General features: G+C 40.1%; 1 protein-coding gene across 8 annotated transcripts in view, besides 1 other annotated feature; it reads left to right on the plus strand.

The window, feature by feature from the left end:
- The window catches only part of RAG1 (recombination activating 1), a 69,410-nt gene extending 54,029 nt beyond the window's left edge, over nt 1-15,381 (plus strand). For 7 of the 8 annotated variants that reach the window (NM_001440489.1, NM_001377277.1, NM_001377278.1 and 4 more), the window contains one exon: nt 8,910-15,381. In NM_001440489.1, coding sequence (NP_001427418.1) covers nt 8,924-12,055 — 3,132 coding nt within the window. In that variant the 5' untranslated portion in view covers nt 8,910-8,923 and the 3' untranslated portion in view covers nt 12,056-15,381. Of the gene's footprint in view, nt 1-3,625; nt 3,742-8,909 lie in introns of those variants that run through there. The other variant, NM_000448.3, reaches the window with a different exon arrangement.
- Nucleotides 17,199-17,702: an enhancer, noted in NCBI's record as "NANOG hESC enhancer chr11:36603130-36603633 (GRCh37/hg19 assembly coordinates)". NCBI's record gives its function as "activates a minimal SCP1, AML or CMV promoter by ChIP-STARR-seq in naive H9 embryonic stem cells {active_cell/tissue: H9 hESC(naive)}" and the evidence as "EXISTENCE:reporter gene assay evidence [ECO:0000049][PMID:30033119]".

Here is a 23,682-nt window from a genome sequence, read left to right on the forward strand (position 1 = left end):
GATGGTGGAAGAGGGGGTAGGGAGAATAGAGATTGGGATAAGGGGAAGAGGGAAGAGAAGAGAAGCAAATACATGATTTCTTCTTAGCCAGTTCATGGATTCAACAACTTCTGAGACTTTTTCTCATGGCTTTTTCTGATAGTCAAGAATATAGGCTTTTCTTTGCCCACACGGTGGCACTAGCTGCTTAGAAAACAGTGTAGCTAAAATCAGAAAGCCCGCAGCAGATCTCCTGAAAGCATGGAGAGTGAGCTGCAGCCGACGTTTAGAGCAATTAATAACACATTAGAAATTTTACTAACAGGGGTAATTCACATTGAGTTAATTAGAAAACAATTTTAAGACAGAGAAAGTGGGGGAGAAATGAGCGTGTGGAGACGCTGTCTCTCCGCCGCCAGTGCAGGGTGGCGAGTTTGCATGCTCACCCAGGGCTCCGATCTAGCGACGACCTGTTAAGGTTCTGCTCCATTGCCAGCTTGAGTTTCTTTACCGTCTAAGATGCATCTTGGATGGGTTAGGGAGGGATGTTCCCTTTTCAGTGTAGTGGAAAGAACGTTGTCCTGGGAGCTGGGAGATCGGATTTGTAATGCTATTTCTGCTACTAATTCCCTTCTGTGACATTGAACAGGAACACTTTGCCCTTCAGGAATAAATAAATAAAACACATGCGTTGGGGCAAGTAACCTCTAAGTTCCCTTCTAGTTCTGGCTTTCAAATTGGTGATGTTAGAAGACAAGAGTTTTGCTAGTTAGAGATGTATAGATACATGCTTATGTATGTAATCTCAATGTCCGTAAACAGCATCTGCTGAATTATGATAAGAGCTCAAAATGCAGCGTTCACACACTCAGACCATGGCTGCAGGAGTAGATTTTGATTGTTATCAGCAATTGGAACTCATTGCTGTCTGGGAAGAGATTGAATTTGAAAAGGTCTCTTAAAAGGGCCTTTGGGAGCCAAGGGGAATAAGTGTAGGCAACCTGCTCAGGGGGGTTGGGGCTTGGATGGAGAGGCAGGTGAAAGCAGGGATGCAGGGAGCACATTGCCTGGAGGAGCAGGGCCAGTGAAGGGCCTGTCGGCACTTCAAGGACTAACCACAGCTAATCACTAGTCTGGGAGGTCTGCGCTCAAGGCTGGAGCTTGGCATCAAGTTGTCCAGGCTCTAGTTCACCCTTTTCGTTCTTTGTCTCTTGCAACAATTGGCCAATACATGTCAGCAGTGTTTTATTTTTAATTTGCTTGGAACAACATGGATCCTAGGCAGCTCTGTCTTTGCTATTTCATGATGCAAGTTAAGGTTTGCTTGTCATGTGGAAAAGATTTGAAATAAAGACAGTGGATAAAATGTTAGTGTCCAGAGGGACAATGGGCCATTATTTAACTTGTTTTTTCCAGGTGATCCAAGGGAGGTCTTACTTCTCAATAGGAGACAAGTGACTTGATTTCAACACGGATGGGAGAAATTGGGAGGTGAAATTGGGAGAAACATGGAAATACTGGTGATGTATACAAATCCAGACTTTTATCAAACAGAGCAATTAGAAAACTGTATCTTCATAGGCACCCAATATTTTGTTATGTCTCATTTAAAATTCATTAAGTACTTTATTTGTAAATATTGTGATTTTTCCTAATTATAAAAGTATACATGACTGATGAAAAATTGAGCAATACAGAAATCTATGTTAAATATGATTTGAAGAGAGAGAGAGAGAGAGAGAAAGCTCCTCCCTTATCTGGTCTGAACCTCACACCTTCACCATTCTTTGATGAGTCCATTTGACCAGCTTACTTTTCCAAGAAAAATTGAAAAGGATTCCATTTATAAATTATTGACCTCAGAGAAATTTTCTAACTCTGCTTTGGAGGTTATGGGCAACCAACCAACTCTGTTCACCGTAGACTCTCGGTGCTAAACCAAGGAAAGTCCAAAACAAACCAGTGCATTTTGTCACTTTAGTTTTACATAACTTCCAAGTGAACCTACAGAACTGAAGCCTGATCCTTGAACTTGCTGCTTTGTTCTAATACTGTGGGATATTATTATTTTGCTCTTTCCTTCAAGGGGAAGCATGAACATCTGGCCTTTTCTTTTTCTTCCTGTAAGTCCATTGGAGATGCAAGATTTTAAGGAGCAGGAGGATGGGGGGGGAAGGACACCCTCTTGCATGTAAGTCATGTTATGACTCCTCTCTACTTGACCTCATTGTGTAAGGAGGGCTCAGGGCCACCTGTTGAACATGAACACTGTCTTCAGGAAATTCTTAGCTCTCACCTGCCTTTCTCGCCATGTTGCCTCAAATATGACCCTCAGGTAAAGGCTGCATCTCCTTGGGGAAAAACACACTGAAGCTCCTAGAAGCCACAGACCAGTTTCTCCTCTCTCCCAGTGTTACTGCAGTGGCTTCTGCCTTGTCTTTAGTGAGCAGCTGTGGCCCCAGGGCTGTTGTGTGGTTAAGTAGGTCCAAATGCGAAAGAGTGGGAGATGTAAGAGGAGCGTCGAATGAGGGCAGCACAGAACAGTGAAATCCTTGCACCTGCCTCCTTGACAGTTTTTGCTGAGAATCAGACAAGCAAGGAATCTCTCACTTATTAGCTGAACACAGAAAGACTTTGGGGATAAAGCTGGTCTGAGAATTATAAAGGGGTTTTGAAACAGAGACAGAGGTGTGTATACACCTATTCATTCTTGAATTATCCTTAGACTATTACTACAAAGTGGCTTTCATTATTCTCCTTTCATGGTATAATGGAGTGATTAGGAACATGAGCTTTGGAATTCCACCCCACCTTCACTAAGTAGTGGCTGTGTGACCATGGGCAAGTCACTCCATTGCTCTGAACTTCTGTTGCTTCTTTTTAGACATAATATTATCAAATGCGTATGACTGTTGTGAAAATTAAATGACACATAAAACACTTACAAGCCTAGCCCATTGCTCTCAATAATGGGGACTAATATTATTAATCTTAGGTTGCAGGTGATGAGATTGAAGTTCCTAAAGTTTAAGTAATGAATCAAAGGCCTGAGTCAAGATTTAAATCCAGGTCTGTTGATGTCCATACTCGAGTAATGTTTAAACTTACAGTAGTTACAAGGAGCATCAACCTTCCTCAGCAAGATTTGACCAGGTTGAAAGGTTCTGAGATTGTTTGGATAACATTTCAAGATAATAATAAAAAAATTCCATAGTGTTGTTAATATCTGATGAACATCTACAAAGAGGCAGACATCGTTTCAAGTATTTTCCTATAATAACTGTCATTGTATAACATTATTGACTCTTTGAGGTATATACTACTAGCCTTTCCTTTTTACAGATGTGGAACTGAGGCACAGAGATATAGAACCCTGGCAAAAGCTGGGGCTTATACTGACTGACAAGACCATTTCCAACCCAAACATTCTCAGGGAGGGAACTGGCAGCCAGTGCCCCAGCAAACTCTCGCACATGGTTCTACACTCAGGCCCCCCTGAGCTAAGCTTCCTAAAGAGCCAGGTGGCAGCTGGAGCTGGGGTCTCCTGGCCCATGATTGGCTGCCATCATTTGTGGTTAGCCCTCCATGGTGGGGGAGGCTGGGAAGGACAGTGGAAGCTGATAAACAGCTCAGCAGCATGTTCTGAGAAACAAGAGGGCAAGGAGAGAGCAGAGAACACACTTTGCCTTCTCTTTGGTATTGAGTAATATCAACCAAATTGCAGACATCTCAACACTTTGGCCAGGCAGCCTGCTGAGCAAGGTAACACTCATACTTTTCATGCCTTGAGCCAAAATATTTATTACATTTTTATGTTTCTAACTAGAAGTGCTTGAGCTTTTTTTCCTTCCAGGTGATGAGGGGATGGAATGAGCAAAGCTACATCAATTTTTTTTTAATGTATGAAAATAAAAAAGGTACAAGAGGCCAAGTTTAGGGCCACTGAAGGTTCATAGAAAGATGCAAAATATCTGAATTACTATAAATGAATGCTATTGTCAGAGGAAAGGTTTAAGGAGTGCTTCTTGAATGAATGTGTACAAATCAGCAGAAGGTAAGGTGTGAGACTCTTGGAAATGAATACTGGTAGTTCAGGTGAGAAAAATAATCAGGAACATAATAGGGTGGGAGGAAATGTATGGTTTCCCAGGTATTAACAAGTATTGCCAGGCATTTCCTGAACTAGATTGGCCTAAGTAGGAGACCAATGTTTCTCAAAATATTCACTCATTTTAGAATCACTGAATGTTTAAAAATGCAATTTCTGGATTCCTTCCCAAACAGCCAGACTCTTTGGGACCTGATGATCTGCATTTCTTTTTAAAAACAAACTCGCTCATGATTCTGATTTGTATTAATTTTGAGAATTGCCATGGTAGAGACCCTGCTTTGAGGTTATGTTCTTGAGTCAGGATTCCTGGCCAGGGATTGTGATGATATATTTCTCTTTCTGAAGTGGTTCATGCAAGAGGTTGTCTGAAGGAAGAGCAAGAATTGTAGTGTTATTTTGTGGATACTTGAGACTTATAAAAAGGCTTTTTATTTTGTCACATTTTTGATACATGATGTTTGGCAAAAAACAGACGATAGTATTTGCAGAGTGAATGAATAAGTGGAACAGGTGTGATAATGAGAGGTCACACTTGAGCACACAGTTATTACTTGGAAATTGTGTACAGACTAAGTTGAAGATGTTAGGAGGGAAGATTGTGGGCCAAGTAACGGGGTGTATGTGTGTGGGTATAGGGTGGGCAGCTGGGATGGAAATGGGGGGCTGCTGCTGCTGCTGCACCCTGGCCTCCTGAACTAATGATATCACTCACCAGAAACTACTGTTCCTGCACTGTCCAAGCCACCCCAAACTAGTTTGTCAAAATGAATCTGTGCTGTGTGGAGGGAGGCACGCCTGTAGCTCTGATGTCAGATGGCAATGTCGAGATGGCAGTGGCCGGTGGGGACAGGGCTGAGCCAGCACCAACCACTCAGCCTTTGAGATCCCGAGGCTGGTCTACTGCTGAGACCTTTTGTTAGAAGAGAGGAGATCAAGCATTTGCAAGGTTTCTGAGTGTCAAAATATGAATCCAAGATAACTCTTTCACAATCCTAACTTCATGCTGTCTACAGGTCCATATTTTAGCCTGCTTTCTCCATGTTCATCCGAAAAGAAAGAAAAGCTAAGGGTGGTGGTCATATTTGAAATTAGCCAGATCTTAAGTTTTTCTGGGGGAAATTTAGAAGAAAATATGGAAAAGTGACTATGAGCACATATACAGCTAGTCTTTAAAACAGTTTTATCCAAAATAAATGTATCACAAAATTAATAAAAATAGTTACTTGCTTGTTTTGAATAATTCAAATGATACAAAAATTAATAAAATAAAAAGTGCAAAAGGCCCTCTTATCAATGCCAATTCTATTTTTTTCAGAAATTAAACACTGTTAAGATTTTAGTGTGTATCCTTTCAGAATTCCTGTGATTTCATATATGTACAAATACAAACGTATCTACATAAAGGGAATCCTACTATACTTGCTATTGTCATTCTATTCTCTGCTTTTTCATGTGAGCATCTTTCCATGTCACTGATGCATACAGAAATTGCACATATGCATCAGTGCATACAGAAAATTAAATTTTCTGCATGGTTTTCCACTGTATGTCTGGACCATAGTTTATTTAATAATAATGCCCTTTGGGTAATTATTTATATTGTTTCCTGCTTTTTCAAAGTAACAGCTTTTGAAACAAATCTCTCTCTGTCTTTATATAAATATTGTTGCATTCCTGTGGAAATGTTTCTATTGGATAACTTCCCAAAAGGAGATTTATTGCATCAAAGATAATATATTCAAAAATTTTAAAGATATTGCTAAATTGTCTAGTAGGTATTTTATACCAATTTATACTCCTCCCAAGAATGTATGGAGATATCTTAATTTCTCCATGCCTTCATTAATGCTGAACCATATAAGTAGTTTTAATCTTTGCTAATTGAATAGATAAAAAATATCTAATCTAAGTCTAGTTCTTAAAAGTTCTATCTTCTACCAAAAGTAATACACGTCTATTTTAGGGAGTAAAAATCACAAGTAAGGATAAAAAATAGTGCAGCAATAAACACAGGAGTGTAGATGTCTCTGAACATACTGATTTAACTTCCTTTGGATAAATACCCAGTAGTAGGACTGCTGGATCATATAATAATTCTATCTTTAGTTTTTTTGAGGACCTCCATACTATTCTTCATAGTGGCTGTACTAATTTACATTCCTACCAACTGTGTATGAAGGTTCCCTTTTCTCTACATCCTTGCCAGCATTCATTATTGCTTGTCATTTGGATACAATCTATTTTAACTGGGGTGAGATGACATCTCATTGTAGTTTTGATATGCATTTCTCTGATGATCAGTGGTGTTGAGCACCTTTTCATATACCTGTTTGCCATTTGTATGTCTTCCTTTGAGAAATGTCTATTCAGATATTTTACCTATTTTAAAATCGGATTATTAGATTGTTTCCTGTAGAGTTGTTTGAGCTCCTTGTATATTCTGGTTATTAATCTCTTGTCAGATGCATAGCTTACAAATATTTTCTCCCATCATGTGGATTGTGTCTTCACTTTGTGGATTGTTTACTTTGCTGTGCAGAAGCTTTTAACTTGATGCAATCCCATTTGTCCACTTTTGCTTTGGTTGCCTTCCACAGGAGTATTTAAATAAATGTAGTTTGGTAGATTTTGGTATAGTAATGCAGGCCAGTGGGAGTCAGGGGAGAAATGTGTAGGGAAGTGAGATAGTTCTAAGGATCCTACAAACATGCCTTATGATTGACTTACTCAATGTGAAAGTCAATATTAAACTTGATGAGCTCTAGAGATGGTCATGCATTTTAAAAAGAATTACTCAAAATATTGTCTTGGAATACCAGAGAGCAAGTGCTTTAAGTATAGGCTGGGAAGTAAAATGCTAAAGGAATGAGAAGGCATTTGGGGTTGAGTTCAACCTAAGAGGCAGGGGAGCCACAGGGAAAGACCTAGCACCTGCCACAGAAGAGAATTAGGAAGCAGAATTGAACTATAAGCAATTTTGAGGTGTTCGTTGGGCTGCAGTTGAAATATTTTTTGAGGTTAATGAGACATTTGAAATGGCCGTGTATTGTTTAACTCTTGCATAGTCCTGCATAGGGAACAATCTAATAGGATTTCTCTGTGAATCAAGTCTTAGAAATTTGCTTTTAATTTTTATGAAAAACGCCCATTTCTTTGTTTTTGAGACAGAGTCCTGCTCTGTCATCCAGGCTGGGTTGCAGTGGCGTGATCTTGGCCCACTGCAATCTCTGCCTCCTGGGTTCAGGCAATTTTCCTGTCTCAGCCTCCCGAGTAGCTGGGATTTCAAGTGCCTGCCACCATGCCCGGCTAAATTTTTTTGTATTTTTGGTACAGATGGAGTATCACCATGTTGGCCAGGCTGGTCTCGAACTCCTGACCTCAAGTGATTCACCAGCCTTGACCTCCCAAAGTGTTGGGATCACAGGCATGAGCCACTGTGCCTGTGCCCCAAAACACCAATTTCTGATGTGTGATGCATGTAAGATAGAACAAACTTCAGTAAAGCGGGGACTTGAAAAGAGGCTTTGGTAACAGCTGTCAGCATTAACCCTTGCCCCTCCGTACCTCCTAATCCCACCCCTGCTCAAAGTATGTTCATCTGAGAATTTGTCTCCATAACTATGTGACTATAAAAATTCTCATCGATTTTGTTAGTTGATCAATTGAGGGAAAAACATATGTTACTTGATATAACTGGTGGGTCAAAAGAATTAACCCAGGCAAATTTGAGATAGGTGGATGGGATGATGGATTGAAAATACAGCTGCTCTCTTTCCAATCATGTACTAAGTAATTTGGGAAAGATTGATCTAATTGGGTCTAGAGAGTACACTTCACATGGCATTGTTTGACTTTTTTTCTGCATCGCTAGCGATCTGTGCATTACAACTCAAATCAGTCGGGTTTCCTGGCATATGTAATTGCCAATGTTTTTTACCAGAAGAGAAACATTACTCCCACCTCTTCTTATTATGTTACAAACTATAGTGCTAATGACCATCGACCAACAGTGACTTTCAGGATGACCTGTGTGAGTTTTATCTGAAACCATGTGAATTTTTCATCTTAAAAGTCCCTTAGAATCTCAGTCTATGTACACTCAGGTTTGTTGCAGGTTTAGAGTTCCGTGTTTTTTGTTTCTAATGTAGACACAGCCTTATAATTTACAACAGCATTCACTAATTAAAATTGTAAGCATAATTACTATCCACGATACTTATTATTAGTTTGCATTCATAAAGCTCAAAATTCACTTCATCCTTTCAAGTAGTGAATAATTAGTTTCTTTGGGTTTGCAGCTTTATCATCCTTTTATGACCCATTTGGAAGAAATAAACAACCAACCCCCTGGAAGACTGCTTTAAAAAGCTGGAAATACATTGTCCAGCTAGTACAATGAGGCTAATACAATGTGGAAAATATTACTTTTCTTTGATTTTAGTAGCCTGTTTATCTTTACATTTACTGAACAAATAACTATTGAGCACCTAATGTATACTGGGACCCTTGGGGAGGCAAAGATGAATCAAAGATTCTGTCCTTAAAGACCTTAAGGTTTTTGTGGAAGGAAATAAAACTTTACATGTATATATTTAAGCACTTATATGTGTGTAACAGGTATAAGTAACCATAAACACTGTCAGAAGAGGAAATAACTCTATGATCAGCACCTAACATGATATATTAAGGTAGAAGATTTAATACATATCTTTTGGAATACATGAATAAATAATTGAATGTATTTATTTTTATTATTTATAAGATACATCAGTGGGATATTGATATTGGTCTTAATATGACTTGTTTTCATTGTTCTCAGGTACCTCAGCCAGCATGGCAGCCTCTTTCCCACCCACCTTGGGACTCAGTTCTGCCCCAGATGAAATTCAGCACCCACATATTAAATTTTCAGAATGGAAATTTAAGCTGTTCCGGGTGAGATCCTTTGAAAAGACACCTGAAGAAGCTCAAAAGGAAAAGAAGGATTCCTTTGAGGGGAAACCCTCTCTGGAGCAATCTCCAGCAGTCCTGGACAAGGCTGATGGTCAGAAGCCAGTCCCAACTCAGCCATTGTTAAAAGCCCACCCTAAGTTTTCAAAGAAATTTCACGACAACGAGAAAGCAAGAGGCAAAGCGATCCATCAAGCCAACCTTCGACATCTCTGCCGCATCTGTGGGAATTCTTTTAGAGCTGATGAGCACAACAGGAGATATCCAGTCCATGGTCCTGTGGATGGTAAAACCCTAGGCCTTTTACGAAAGAAGGAAAAGAGAGCTACTTCCTGGCCGGACCTCATTGCCAAGGTTTTCCGGATCGATGTGAAGGCAGATGTTGACTCGATCCACCCCACTGAGTTCTGCCATAACTGCTGGAGCATCATGCACAGGAAGTTTAGCAGTGCCCCATGTGAGGTTTACTTCCCGAGGAACGTGACCATGGAGTGGCACCCCCACACACCATCCTGTGACATCTGCAACACTGCCCGTCGGGGACTCAAGAGGAAGAGTCTTCAGCCAAACTTGCAGCTCAGCAAAAAACTCAAAACTGTGCTTGACCAAGCAAGACAAGCCCGTCAGCACAAGAGAAGAGCTCAGGCAAGGATCAGCAGCAAGGATGTCATGAAGAAGATCGCCAACTGCAGTAAGATACATCTTAGTACCAAGCTCCTTGCAGTGGACTTCCCAGAGCACTTTGTGAAATCCATCTCCTGCCAGATCTGTGAACACATTCTGGCTGACCCTGTGGAGACCAACTGTAAGCATGTCTTTTGCCGGGTCTGCATTCTCAGATGCCTCAAAGTCATGGGCAGCTATTGTCCCTCTTGCCGATATCCATGCTTCCCTACTGACCTGGAGAGTCCAGTGAAGTCCTTTCTGAGCGTCTTGAATTCCCTGATGGTGAAATGTCCAGCAAAAGAGTGCAATGAGGAGGTCAGTTTGGAAAAATATAATCACCACATCTCAAGTCACAAGGAATCAAAAGAGATTTTTGTGCACATTAATAAAGGGGGCCGGCCCCGCCAACATCTTCTGTCGCTGACTCGGAGAGCTCAGAAGCACCGGCTGAGGGAGCTCAAGCTGCAAGTCAAAGCCTTTGCTGACAAAGAAGAAGGTGGAGATGTGAAGTCCGTGTGCATGACCTTGTTCCTGCTGGCTCTGAGGGCGAGGAATGAGCACAGGCAAGCTGATGAGCTGGAGGCCATCATGCAGGGAAAGGGCTCTGGCCTGCAGCCAGCTGTTTGCTTGGCCATCCGTGTCAACACCTTCCTCAGCTGCAGTCAGTACCACAAGATGTACAGGACTGTGAAAGCCATCACAGGGAGACAGATTTTTCAGCCTTTGCATGCCCTTCGGAATGCTGAGAAGGTACTTCTGCCAGGCTACCACCACTTTGAGTGGCAGCCACCTCTGAAGAATGTGTCTTCCAGCACTGATGTTGGCATTATTGATGGGCTGTCTGGACTATCATCCTCTGTGGATGATTACCCAGTGGACACCATTGCAAAGAGGTTCCGCTATGATTCAGCTTTGGTGTCTGCTTTGATGGACATGGAAGAAGACATCTTGGAAGGCATGAGATCCCAAGACCTTGATGATTACCTGAATGGCCCCTTCACTGTGGTGGTGAAGGAGTCTTGTGATGGAATGGGAGACGTGAGTGAGAAGCATGGGAGTGGGCCTGTAGTTCCAGAAAAGGCAGTCCGTTTTTCATTCACAATCATGAAAATTACTATTGCCCACAGCTCTCAGAATGTGAAAGTATTTGAAGAAGCCAAACCTAACTCTGAACTGTGTTGCAAGCCATTGTGCCTTATGCTGGCAGATGAGTCTGACCACGAGACGCTGACTGCCATCCTGAGTCCTCTCATTGCTGAGAGGGAGGCCATGAAGAGCAGTGAATTAATGCTTGAGCTGGGAGGCATTCTCCGGACTTTCAAGTTCATCTTCAGGGGCACCGGCTATGATGAAAAACTTGTGCGGGAAGTGGAAGGCCTCGAGGCTTCTGGCTCAGTCTACATTTGTACTCTTTGTGATGCCACCCGTCTGGAAGCCTCTCAAAATCTTGTCTTCCACTCTATAACCAGAAGCCATGCTGAGAACCTGGAACGTTATGAGGTCTGGCGTTCCAACCCTTACCATGAGTCTGTGGAAGAACTGCGGGATCGGGTGAAAGGGGTCTCAGCTAAACCTTTCATTGAGACAGTCCCTTCCATAGATGCACTCCACTGTGACATTGGCAATGCAGCTGAGTTCTACAAGATCTTCCAGCTAGAGATAGGGGAAGTGTATAAGAATCCCAATGCTTCCAAAGAGGAAAGGAAAAGGTGGCAGGCCACACTGGACAAGCATCTCCGGAAGAAGATGAACCTCAAACCAATCATGAGGATGAATGGCAACTTTGCCAGGAAGCTCATGACCAAAGAGACTGTGGATGCAGTTTGTGAGTTAATTCCTTCCGAGGAGAGGCACGAGGCTCTGAGGGAGCTGATGGATCTTTACCTGAAGATGAAACCAGTATGGCGATCATCATGCCCTGCTAAAGAGTGCCCAGAATCCCTCTGCCAGTACAGTTTCAATTCACAGCGTTTTGCTGAGCTCCTTTCTACGAAGTTCAAGTATAGGTATGAGGGAAAAATCACCAATTATTTTCACAAAACCCTGGCCCATGTTCCTGAAATTATTGAGAGGGATGGCTCCATTGGGGCATGGGCAAGTGAGGGAAATGAGTCTGGTAACAAACTGTTTAGGCGCTTCCGGAAAATGAATGCCAGGCAGTCCAAATGCTATGAGATGGAAGATGTCCTGAAACACCACTGGTTGTACACCTCCAAATACCTCCAGAAGTTTATGAATGCTCATAATGCATTAAAAACCTCTGGGTTTACCATGAACCCTCAGGCAAGCTTAGGGGACCCATTAGGCATAGAGGACTCTCTGGAAAGCCAAGATTCAATGGAATTTTAAGTAGGGCAACCACTTATGAGTTGGTTTTTGCAATTGAGTTTCCCTCTGGGTTGCATTGAGGGCTTCTCCTAGCACCCTTTACTGCTGTGTATGGGGCTTCACCATCCAAGAGGTGGTAGGTTGGAGTAAGATGCTACAGATGCTCTCAAGTCAGGAATAGAAACTGATGAGCTGATTGCTTGAGGCTTTTAGTGAGTTCCGAAAAGCAACAGGAAAAATCAGTTATCTGAAAGCTCAGTAACTCAGAACAGGAGTAACTGCAGGGGACCAGAGATGAGCAAAGATCTGTGTGTGTTGGGGAGCTGTCATGTAAATCAAAGCCAAGGTTGTCAAAGAACAGCCAGTGAGGCCAGGAAAGAAATTGGTCTTGTGGTTTTCATTTTTTTCCCCCTTGATTGATTATATTTTGTATTGAGATATGATAAGTGCCTTCTATTTCATTTTTGAATAATTCTTCATTTTTATAATTTTACATATCTTGGCTTGCTATATAAGATTCAAAAGAGCTTTTTAAATTTTTCTAATAATATCTTACATTTGTACAGCATGATGACCTTTACAAAGTGCTCTCAATGCATTTACCCATTCGTTATATAAATATGTTACATCAGGACAACTTTGAGAAAATCAGTCCTTTTTTATGTTTAAATTATGTATCTATTGTAACCTTCAGAGTTTAGGAGGTCATCTGCTGTCATGGATTTTTCAATAATGAATTTAGAATACACCTGTTAGCTACAGTTAGTTATTAAATCTTCTGATAATATATGTTTACTTAGCTATCAGAAGCCAAGTATGATTCTTTATTTTTACTTTTTCATTTCAAGAAATTTAGAGTTTCCAAATTTAGAGCTTCTGCATACAGTCTTAAAGCCACAGAGGCTTGTAAAAATATAGGTTAGCTTGATGTCTAAAAATATATTTCATGTCTTACTGAAACATTTTGCCAGACTTTCTCCAAATGAAACCTGAATCAATTTTTCTAAATCTAGGTTTCATAGAGTCCTCTCCTCTGCAATGTGTTATTCTTTCTATAATGATCAGTTTACTTTCAGTGGATTCAGAATTGTGTAGCAGGATAACCTTGTATTTTTCCATCCGCTAAGTTTAGATGGAGTCCAAACGCAGTACAGCAGAAGAGTTAACATTTACACAGTGCTTTTTACCACTGTGGAATGTTTTCACACTCATTTTTCCTTACAACAATTCTGAGGAGTAGGTGTTGTTATTATCTCCATTTGATGGGGGTTTAAATGATTTGCTCAAAGTCATTTAGGGGTAATAAATACTTGGCTTGGAAATTTAACACAGTCCTTTTGTCTCCAAAGCCCTTCTTCTTTCCACCACAAATTAATCACTATGTTTATAAGGTAGTATCAGAATTTTTTTAGGATTCACAACTAATCACTATAGCACATGACCTTGGGATTACATTTTTATGGGGCAGGGGTAAGCAAGTTTTTAAATCATTTGTGTGCTCTGGCTCTTTTGATAGAAGAAAGCAACACAAAAGCTCCAAAGGGCCCCCTAACCCTCTTGTGGCTCCAGTTATTTGGAAACTATGATCTGCATCCTTAGGAATCTGGGATTTGCCAGTTGCTGGCAATGTAGAGCAGGCATGGAATTTTATATGCTAGTGAGTCATAATGATATGTTAGTGTTAATTAGTTTTTTCTTCCTTTGATTTTATTGGCCATAATTGCTACTCTTCATACACAGTATATCAAAGAGCTTGATAATTTAGTTGTCAAAAGTGCATCGGCGACATTATCTTTAATTGTATGTATTTGGTGCTTCTTCAGGGATTGAACTCAGTATCTTTCATTAAAAAACACAGCAGTTTTCCTTGCTTTTTATATGCAGAATATCAAAGTCATTTCTAATTTAGTTGTCAAAAACATATACATATTTTAACATTAGTTTTTTTGAAAACTCTTGGTTTTGTTTTTTTGGAAATGAGTGGGCCACTAAGCCACACTTTCCCTTCATCCTGCTTAATCCTTCCAGCATGTCTCTGCACTAATAAACAGCTAAATTCACATAATCATCCTATTTACTGAAGCATGGTCATGCTGGTTTATAGATTTTTTACCCATTTCTACTCTTTTTCTCTATTGGTGGCACTGTAAATACTTTCCAGTATTAAATTATCCTTTTCTAACACTGTAGGAACTATTTTGAATGCATGTGACTAAGAGCATGATTTATAGCACAACCTTTCCAATAATCCCTTAATCAGATCACATTTTGATAAACCCTGGGAACATCTGGCTGCAGGAATTTCAATATGTAGAAACGCTGCCTATGGTTTTTTGCCCTTACTGTTGAGACTGCAATATCCTAGACCCTAGTTTTATACTAGAGTTTTATTTTTAGCAATGCCTATTGCAAGTGCAATTATATACTCCAGGGAAATTCACCACACTGAATCGAGCATTTGTGTGTGTATGTGTGAAGTATATACTGGGACTTCAGAAGTGCAATGTATTTTTCTCCTGTGAAACCTGAATCTACAAGTTTTCCTGCCAAGCCACTCAGGTGCATTGCAGGGACCAGTGATAATGGCTGATGAAAATTGATGATTGGTCAGTGAGGTCAAAAGGAGCCTTGGGATTAATAAACATGCACTGAGAAGCAAGAGGAGGAGAAAAAGATGTCTTTTTCTTCCAGGTGAACTGGAATTTAGTTTTGCCTCAGATTTTTTTCCCACAAGATACAGAAGAAGATAAAGATTTTTTTGGTTGAGAGTGTGGGTCTTGCATTACATCAAACAGAGTTCAAATTCCACACAGATAAGAGGCAGGATATATAAGCGCCAGTGGTAGTTGGGAGGAATAAACCATTATTTGGATGCAGGTGGTTTTTGATTGCAAATATGTGTGTGTCTTCAGTGATTGTATGACAGATGATGTATTCTTTTGATGTTAAAAGATTTTAAGTAAGAGTAGATACATTGTACCCATTTTACATTTTCTTATTTTAACTACAGTAATCTACATAAATATACCTCAGAAATCATTTTTGGTGATTATTTTTTGTTTTGTAGAATTGCACTTCAGTTTATTTTCTTACAAATAACCTTACATTTTGTTTAATGGCTTCCAAGAGCCTTTTTTTTTTTTGTATTTCAGAGAAAATTCAGGTACCAGGATGCAATGGATTTATTTGATTCAGGGGACCTGTGTTTCCATGTCAAATGTTTTCAAATAAAATGAAATATGAGTTTCAATACTTTTTATATTTTAATATTTCCATTCATTAATATTATGGTTATTGTCAGCAATTTTATGTTTGAATATTTGAAATAAAAGTTTAAGATTTGAAAATGGTATGTATTATAATTTCTATTCAAATATTAATAATAATATTGAGTGCAGCATTTAAAAATTAACGTCTTTTACTTTGAGAGAAATACAGAATAAATTTGGTGGTCTTTGGATTAAAGGACAATAGAATAATGATTATGTGTAAAATTTATCCTAATGTAGGATGAAACAATTTTTTCCCCCAGATACATAGGATAAATAGTAAATCTTTTTGTTTATTAACTTTTTTGAGACTGGTGAAAATACAGACTTATTCTCCAGAAAATTCACATACTTATTGTATTAGGCCATTCTTTTTTCTTTGTTTTTTTTTTTTTTTTCTTCTTTTTTGAGACGGAGTCTCACTTTGTCTCCCAGGCTGGAGTGCAGTGGTGCGATCTCAGCTCATTGCAAACTCCGCCTCCTGGGTTCAGGCCATTCTCCTGCCTCAGCCTCCTGAGTAGCTGGGACTACAGGTGCCCGCCACCATGCCCGGCTAATTTTTTGTATTTTTTAGTAGAGATGGGGTTTCACCGTGTTAGCCAGGATGGTCTCAATCTCCTGACCTCGTGATCCACCCGCCTCAGCCTCCCAAAGTGCTGGGATTACAGGCGTGAGCCACCACACCTGGCTTATGTTAGGCCATTCTTGCATTACTATAAATAAATACATCAGACTGGGTAATTTATAAAGAAAAGAGGTTTAATTGGTTCACAGTTCTGCAGTAAGTATGGCACTAGCATCTAATTCACCTTCTGGTGAGGCCTCAGAAAGCTACAATCATGGCATAAAGGGAAAGGAAAGCAGGAGCATCACACAGCGAGAATGGGAACATGGATGAGGAGGTGCCACACAATTTTACACGACCAGATCTCATGTAAACTTGCTGAGCAAGAACTTGCTCATTATCATGAGAATAGTACCAAGCCATCCATAAGGGATCTGCCCGCACAATCCAATCACCTCCCATCAGTCCTGACCTCCAACACTGGGGTTACATTTCAACATGGGTATTGGAGAGGACAAATATCCAAAGCATAGCATTCTGCCCCTGGCCTTCCAAATCTCATGTTCCCCTCATATTGCAAAATACAATCATCCCTTCCCAACAGTCCCCCAAAGTCTTTACTCATTCCAAGTATCAACTTAAAAGTCCTGAAGTCCTAAGTCTAGAGTCTCATCATTGGAGACTCAAGGCAAATTTCTTCCTGACCCTGTAAAATAAAAAGCAATTATTGACTTCCAAGATGCAATGGTGGTACAGGCACTGGATTGATATTCTCATTCCAAAAGGTAGAAATTGGCCAAAAGAAAGGGGTAATAGGCACCACAGAAAACCCAGAAGAGCATACATTAAACCTTAAAGCTCCAAAATAGTGTCTGTTGACACCATGTCCCACATCCAAGGCATGTTTCTGCAAGCGGTGGACTTCCAATGCCTTGGGCAGCTCCACCCCTATGGCTGCGCAAGGTGCAGCCCCCACAGCTGCTCTCAAGGGTTGGAGTTGAGTGACTGCAGCTTTTCCCTGTGGAGGTTGCAAGTTGCAGGTAGCCATACCACTCTTGGGGCTAGAGGGTGGTGGTCCCATCCCACAGCTCCACTAGGCAATAACCTGGTAGGGACTTTGTATAGGGCCTCCAATCCCACATTTCCCCTCTGCATTTTCCTAGCAGAGGCTGTCTGCAAGTGCTCACCCATAGAGTAGGCTTTTGCTTTAGCACCCAGGTTTTCTCATACATCCTCTGAAATCTAGGGTGAAGCTGCCAAGCCTTATTCTCTTCTGCATTCTGAGCACCTGCAGGCTTAAAACCATGTGGAAGCTGCCAAGGCTTATGGCTGTGCCCTCTGGAGCTGCAGCCTGAACTGTATCTGGGGCCCTTTGAGCCAAAGCTGGAGCTGAATGGCCTGAATGCAGAGAGCAGTGTCCAAAGGCTGTGCAAGTTAGCAGGGCCCTGGGGCTGGCCCCTGAAACCATTCTTTCCTCCTAGGCCTCTGGGCCTGTGACGGGAGGGGTTGCCTCAAAGATCTCTGAAATGCCTTCAAGACCTTCCCATTGTCTTGGATAGTAGCACTTCGCTCCCTTTTAGTCATGCTAATCTCTTTAGCCAGTGGTTGCTCTGTAGCTGCTTGAATTCCTCCTCTATCACAAAGCCAAGCTGCAAATTTTCCAAACTTTTACATTCTGCTATCATTTTAATTATAAATTCCAAATTTAAGTCATTCCTTTGCTCCTGTATTTGATCTTAGGCTGTTATAAGCAGTCAGGCTACATCTTAAATACTTTGCTGCATAGAAATTTCTTCTACTAGATACCCTAAGTCATCACTCTTAAGTTCAACCTTCACAGATCCCCAGGATGTGGACACAATGCAGCCAAGCTCTTTGCTAAGGAATAACACAGGTGACCTTTACTCCAGTTCCTAGTAACTTCCTCATTTCCATCTGAGACCTCATTAGCCCTGGCCTTCACTGTCCATATCTCTATCAGCATTTTGATCATAACCATTTAACCAGTCTCTAATAAGTTACAAACTTTTCCTCATTTTACTGTCTTCTTCTGAGCCCTCCAGGCTCTTCCATTTTCACCTCTGCCTGTTACCCAGTTCCAAAGCCACTTCCACATTTTTGGGTATCTTTACAGCAATGTCCCACCGCTTGGTACCAATTTTCTGTATGTGACCATTCTTGTATTGCTATAAAGAAATATCTGAGACTTGATAATTTATACAGAAAAGAGGTTTATTTGGCTCACAGTTCTACAGGTTGTAAAGAAAGCATGACACTGGTGTCACATACTGAAAGTGGGAGCAAGGGGTGGGAGTAAGGTGCTCCACACTTTGAACAACCAGATCTTGCATGAACTTTTAGAGCAAGAACTTGCTCATTATCATGAGGACAGCACCAAGCCATTCGTGAGGGATCTGTCCCTGTGATCCAATCACCTTTCACCAGGTTCCACTTCCAACACTGGGGATTACATTTCAAAGTGAGATTTGGAGGAACAAACATCCGAACAATATCACTTATACACTCAAAATTTTGGTCAGAGTTGTTGACTTTTCCAGGGTCACTCAGAAAATGGCAGAACTGGCTACAGTCCAAGTGCTTTTAGTCAGTGCTTTTAATAATAGTAATAAATAATAGTAATAATAGCTACCATTTTCCAAACATTTTTTTGCTAACCACTTTGCATACATTTTCTTATTTGATCCTTTTGAGGTGGATACTCCTATTATCTCCATGTTACACTTGAAATAACTGAAGCTTATCTCAGCTAGAAAATGGCAGAGCCACATCCACACATTTTTAAGTACCATAGACCCACCTTAGCTGCAGGCTTCCCAGCTCCCTTCCAGTCAGGGCTGAGATTCAGTCTGGCTGTCTCTCCACAGCTATACCATTTTTTAAAAAATATTGAAACATGTTTGTATTTGTAGGTAAATAGCCCTGTGGCCCAAGACCCAAGTGCCCTTATGCTACTCTCGCAGCCCTTCTCCATCTTTCAGGAACTGTGGATCACTCCACAATCCAGCAAGTAACTTGCAGCACTGCCGGAGGCCTCTGGACCTGGGTTTTTAAATATTTGAATATTTGAGTGCTATCTCTACCTTTCAGAATGTAGCACCTTTTTACCTTTTAAGACCCAGGTAAGGTCTGCATCCTTCTCACCCTTTCTAGTTACTTCAGCCTATATATTAAATACATATTTGTAAGATGCCTTCTATGGGCAATGTGGGCTTGGCACAGGAGATACAGTGGTGAAGAACATAGACAGTTTCTGCTCATAAACAGCTAGGGAGGGATAGACTTCAAATCAACAATAAGACTCTAAATGCATAGCCGCACACTAGTAGGTGTTATGAAGGAAAAACACTAAATGTGATCAGAGCACAATAGGTGCATTATGAAGTATGATAGGACAATAGAATTTAACCTGCGGTATCAGAGAAAGCATCTAGGAAGAAGGAACTTTTCAGTGGAGACTGGGAGAATGAGTGGGTGAGGTCAGGTAGGTTACCTGGATGGAGTGAGAGACCTGGAGTAAACTTAGCCTGTGGGAAGACTCTGTGAGGAGAGAGCAATTGTCAGTGTTTAGGACCTGAAGGAAGGTAAGTGCACAGGAGCAGCCTGAGGGAGGCGCTGCTCTGGAGAATCAGGCAGAGGTTTTATCATGCAGGACCCAATGGACTTGAGTCCCACCAGAAGTGCAAATGGAAAAACTACTGAAGAGTTTGAGGCAGGCCATGAGTCGATCCACACCACACCAGCAGTGGGGCACAAGTGAAATGCTTTTGGAAGCTATAAAGTGTGAGGGAATTGATCCAAGTTTAAGAAGCGTTATGCATATAAATCTAAATGATGGAGTAGCAATTTCAAGCATTTTTTTTCTCTTCAATGATACCCTGCCTCCTAATTCACATGTCTCACTTCTTTAGATGACTGTGCCCAACTCAAGGCAGGAGGAGATGAAGGAAGGTTCTGCAGTCCTTGATAGCCTCATTTTTAAAAATGAAGTCAGCGTTTCTTTCTCTGGCTTTTTTCCTTGTTTCTTTGGAAATTTTCTTTTTTCCCCCTTTTGGCCTTTATATAATCTTTTTCTTCTTTTTGATGATGACAACATATTTGTGCCATTGCAAAATACATACCAACTTACTTGGAGGCCAAGACCTGCAAATTATTTTTATACTAAGGTCTGATCAAGGTCTAAATAAATACCTAATCTCACATAGATTTTTTTCATCTTTTTCCTCAAGAAACTAATACACTTTCATAATACAAAGTTGATGATTATCCATATTTTGCACACACACAAACCCTACCTCTTTTGCGTTATCACTATACATTTTGCATAGCATTTCAAATAGTCTTTTCTACATTTCCAGTTATCTTGGTCACAACATCTCTTCAGCAGGGCAAAAGAAAACACAGGTAACTTAGAAATACTTTAGCCCAATTTCTTAATTTTCCCAGTATATCCCAAGTTAAAGGAAAAAATGAACTGTTATTGCACGGACAGCCTGGACTACACAGTTTCAAATTTGTCACCCATTGCTATGAGTTTATTATTCTATTGTCCACAACTCTCTTGTCCTGCCCCTTTTCCCCATTCTATAGTGAGAGTATTGATTCACTAAAGGTGAGTCTGATGTTTTATATTTCTTTTGCAGTTCTCATAATATTTAATGTGAATCTTGGATTTTCAATAAATGCTTACTGATGGATACCCTGAATGAGCCTACTGGTAGAGGAATTGAGCCATGGATTCAGGGGATTTTTATTCTTAACCAGCCTCTTAAAAGGACTGGTATTGATAACTTTTCTATTCTCACAAATTGTGATTTAAGTGAATACACACATTTTTTTTGGATTGATATCTGGAGACAGGATGAAGAATTGCTTTTCTTAGAAGTAAGTGTGCAATGTTAGATGTTTGTTGACAGAATTAGGTTTGAAAAATGTGCTATCATCTATGGTAAAGTCCAAGTCAAAAAGCAGTATTCTATGCTAGAGTGGAGTTTTGTGGCATGTAAGTAATTTGGAATTCTTGTCACTGTGTATTACAACGGCTGTCTATTCTATTAAAATTTACCATGATATCTATTTTAATCCTGTGTGATCTCTTTTCACCAGAAAGGAGAATAAATATAACCTAAGAGCTCATCTCCTTCTGTGAATTTTGCTGTACTTTTGATTTCCAAGTTCTGTGAGATATTTTAATTGATCAAGATATTTGGAACACATAGTTTATTTCCACAGCTCCTCCTTCATGTATTAAAGAATCAGAAAGATAGTAAGACAATAGCTGCAGAAGTGAATAAATTTCAGTCCCTATAGAGTGAACGTAATTCAATTCAATGAATATTCATTGAGCAACTATAATGTATGAGAAGCTATGCCTTCTGTTAAGAACATGCAACTGAGAAAGAAACTTTCCTTTCTTTTAAGGAGCCCATTATCAAATAGCTTCTCTATTTGAAGATCAGGCATATACATAAATGTTTATAAGTTGACAGGTGCTATAAAAAGAGATGGTTTGGATAGAGAGGTGAATATTCCACACTTTTTAAACGAAAGGCTTTACAGAGAAGAACTAAATCTTGAAAGATGATAGTTATTAACCAGGGAGAAGGACTTTTCAGGTGGAGGATTTCCAGCATTGATAGAGAATGAGTACTAGCAGTGTGTGTGTAGAGGGAAGGATGGGCCTACAGAATCATATTTTGCCTTAGTGAGACATTTGGATTTTTTTTTCTCATGGAAGATGGGAAAGCACTGATGAAAGAGTTTTCATCAGTGAAACATCAGATTTTTATTTTTGAATGTTCATTGTGGTCTCAGTACAGTTAGAGGATTGGAAGGAGACAAGGTGAAGGCAGGGAGACCAGTTAGGAGATTGTTTAAATAGTAAAGGCAAAAGGTAATAAAAGGTAAGAAAAGCAGTGGCAATGAATATACACAGTGTGTATATTAGTCCATTTTGACACTGCTGATAAAGACATAATTGAGACTGAATAATTTATACAGGAAAAAGAATTTAATGGTCTTACAGTTCCATGAGGCTGGGGAGGCCTCACAATCAAGGCAAAAGGCAAGGAGGAGCAATTCTTGTCTTATATGGAAGGCAGCAGCAAAGAGAGAGCTTGTACAGGGAAGCTCCACCTTATAGAGCCATCAGATCTCATGAGACTTATTCACTATCATGAGAAAAGCAAGGGAAAGACCTGCTCCTGTGATTCAGTTACCTCCCACCAGTTCCTCCCATAACACATGGGGATTCAAGATGAGATTTGGGTGCAGACACAGCCAAACCATATCACACAGCATGTACTTTTGTTTTAGCTTACAAGAGCTATTCTGGTACCATTCATTACTATTTCAGGGTAAATGGGGCTATTGCAGTTGGGATGTTTAAAATATATACTGTGTCAGATGCTGGCTAAATGCTTGTCACTTACAGTTCCCTTTTATAGACACATAGTTAAACTACATTTCCCAGCCTCCTTGCATCTAGGTGGGGCCATGTGACTAGCTTTTGCCAATGAAAGTCAGAGAAAATGATTTTATCATTTGCAGGCTGAAACATTTACAAGTGAGTGTGCCTTCCCCACATTTTCTCTTTCTCTTTCTTTCTTTTTTTCTTTTTGTATCTGAAGTCTTGGGGGACACATGATGGAGATAAAGATGGTAGAGTTGCCAAACAGAAAAAGCCTGGATCCCTGAGACAAATCTTGGAGGAGAGTCACTCAGGTGAATAACCTGATAAGAACACCTGCATTGGATTTTCCATGAGCAAGAAATAAACTTTAAACGACTTACTGAAGTGTTTCAGAGTTTTTGTTACAGCAGCTAGTGTTAATTATCCTAATACATATTTTCCTATTCTTACCTTTGCCATCAGCCAGAAGTTTGTTGGTTTCATTTAAGCTCATATCCCTTGCTTCTTTAGTTGCTTTAAGCTTTTACTCTCTCTCTCTCTCTCTCTGTGTGTGTATATATATATATGTGTGTGTGTGTGTGTGTGTGTGTGTGTACATATCTATGCAATATCTATATAAACACATGTATATTTAGCACTAGGCACTCTGCTGGATACTGGAGATTCAATAATAATAAACAATTAAGATATCTGTCATGATGGAATTAAGAGATAAGAAGAGGAAAAGAGAAGTTATAAGTAATTATAACAAATGTAACAAAGTATAATTAGTGTTCTGCTAGATAAAGGATACGTCACTTTGGTTACTCACAATAAAAGGCAGATGCAACTCAGTAATGTATTTAATTCAATTCAGCTTAACAACACTTTGCCTAAGGTATACCAGGCATTATATTAAGTACTTGACATAAAAATAATAAAAAACATTGTTCTAGTCCTCATGAAATGCATAGTTGTTTAGAAGAGTCAGACACTTAGAATACTTACCAAGTAGTACTTTTTTACTCATTTAGGTGTAACAACAGAAATAATTACAAGATGTTGAAGCAGTACCAGGGAGGATGTGATGGACCCTGTGTTATATAATACTGTGAGATAGTACTTGACTAGTTTTCCTCCTAGATCTTTCTTTTATTCAAGATTTGAGTGTGAAAAGTCTATGCTTTGGGAGCTGGTGCATTGGCTTATTCCCATAACCCTAGTACTTTGGGAGTCTGAGACAGGAGGATTGCTTGAGGCCACGAGTTCAAGATTAGCCTAGGGAAGATATGGAGACCCCATCTCTGCAAAAAATAAAACTATTAGCTGGGTATGGTGGTATGCACCTGAAGCTCTAGCTACTCGGGAGCTGAGGTCAGAGGATTTCTTGAGCCCAGGAGTTAGA

The sequence above is a fragment of the Homo sapiens genome, chromosome 11 (assembly GCF_000001405.40).
Source record: "Homo sapiens chromosome 11, GRCh38.p14 Primary Assembly".
Lineage (NCBI taxonomy): Eukaryota > Metazoa > Chordata > Mammalia > Primates > Hominidae > Homo > Homo sapiens.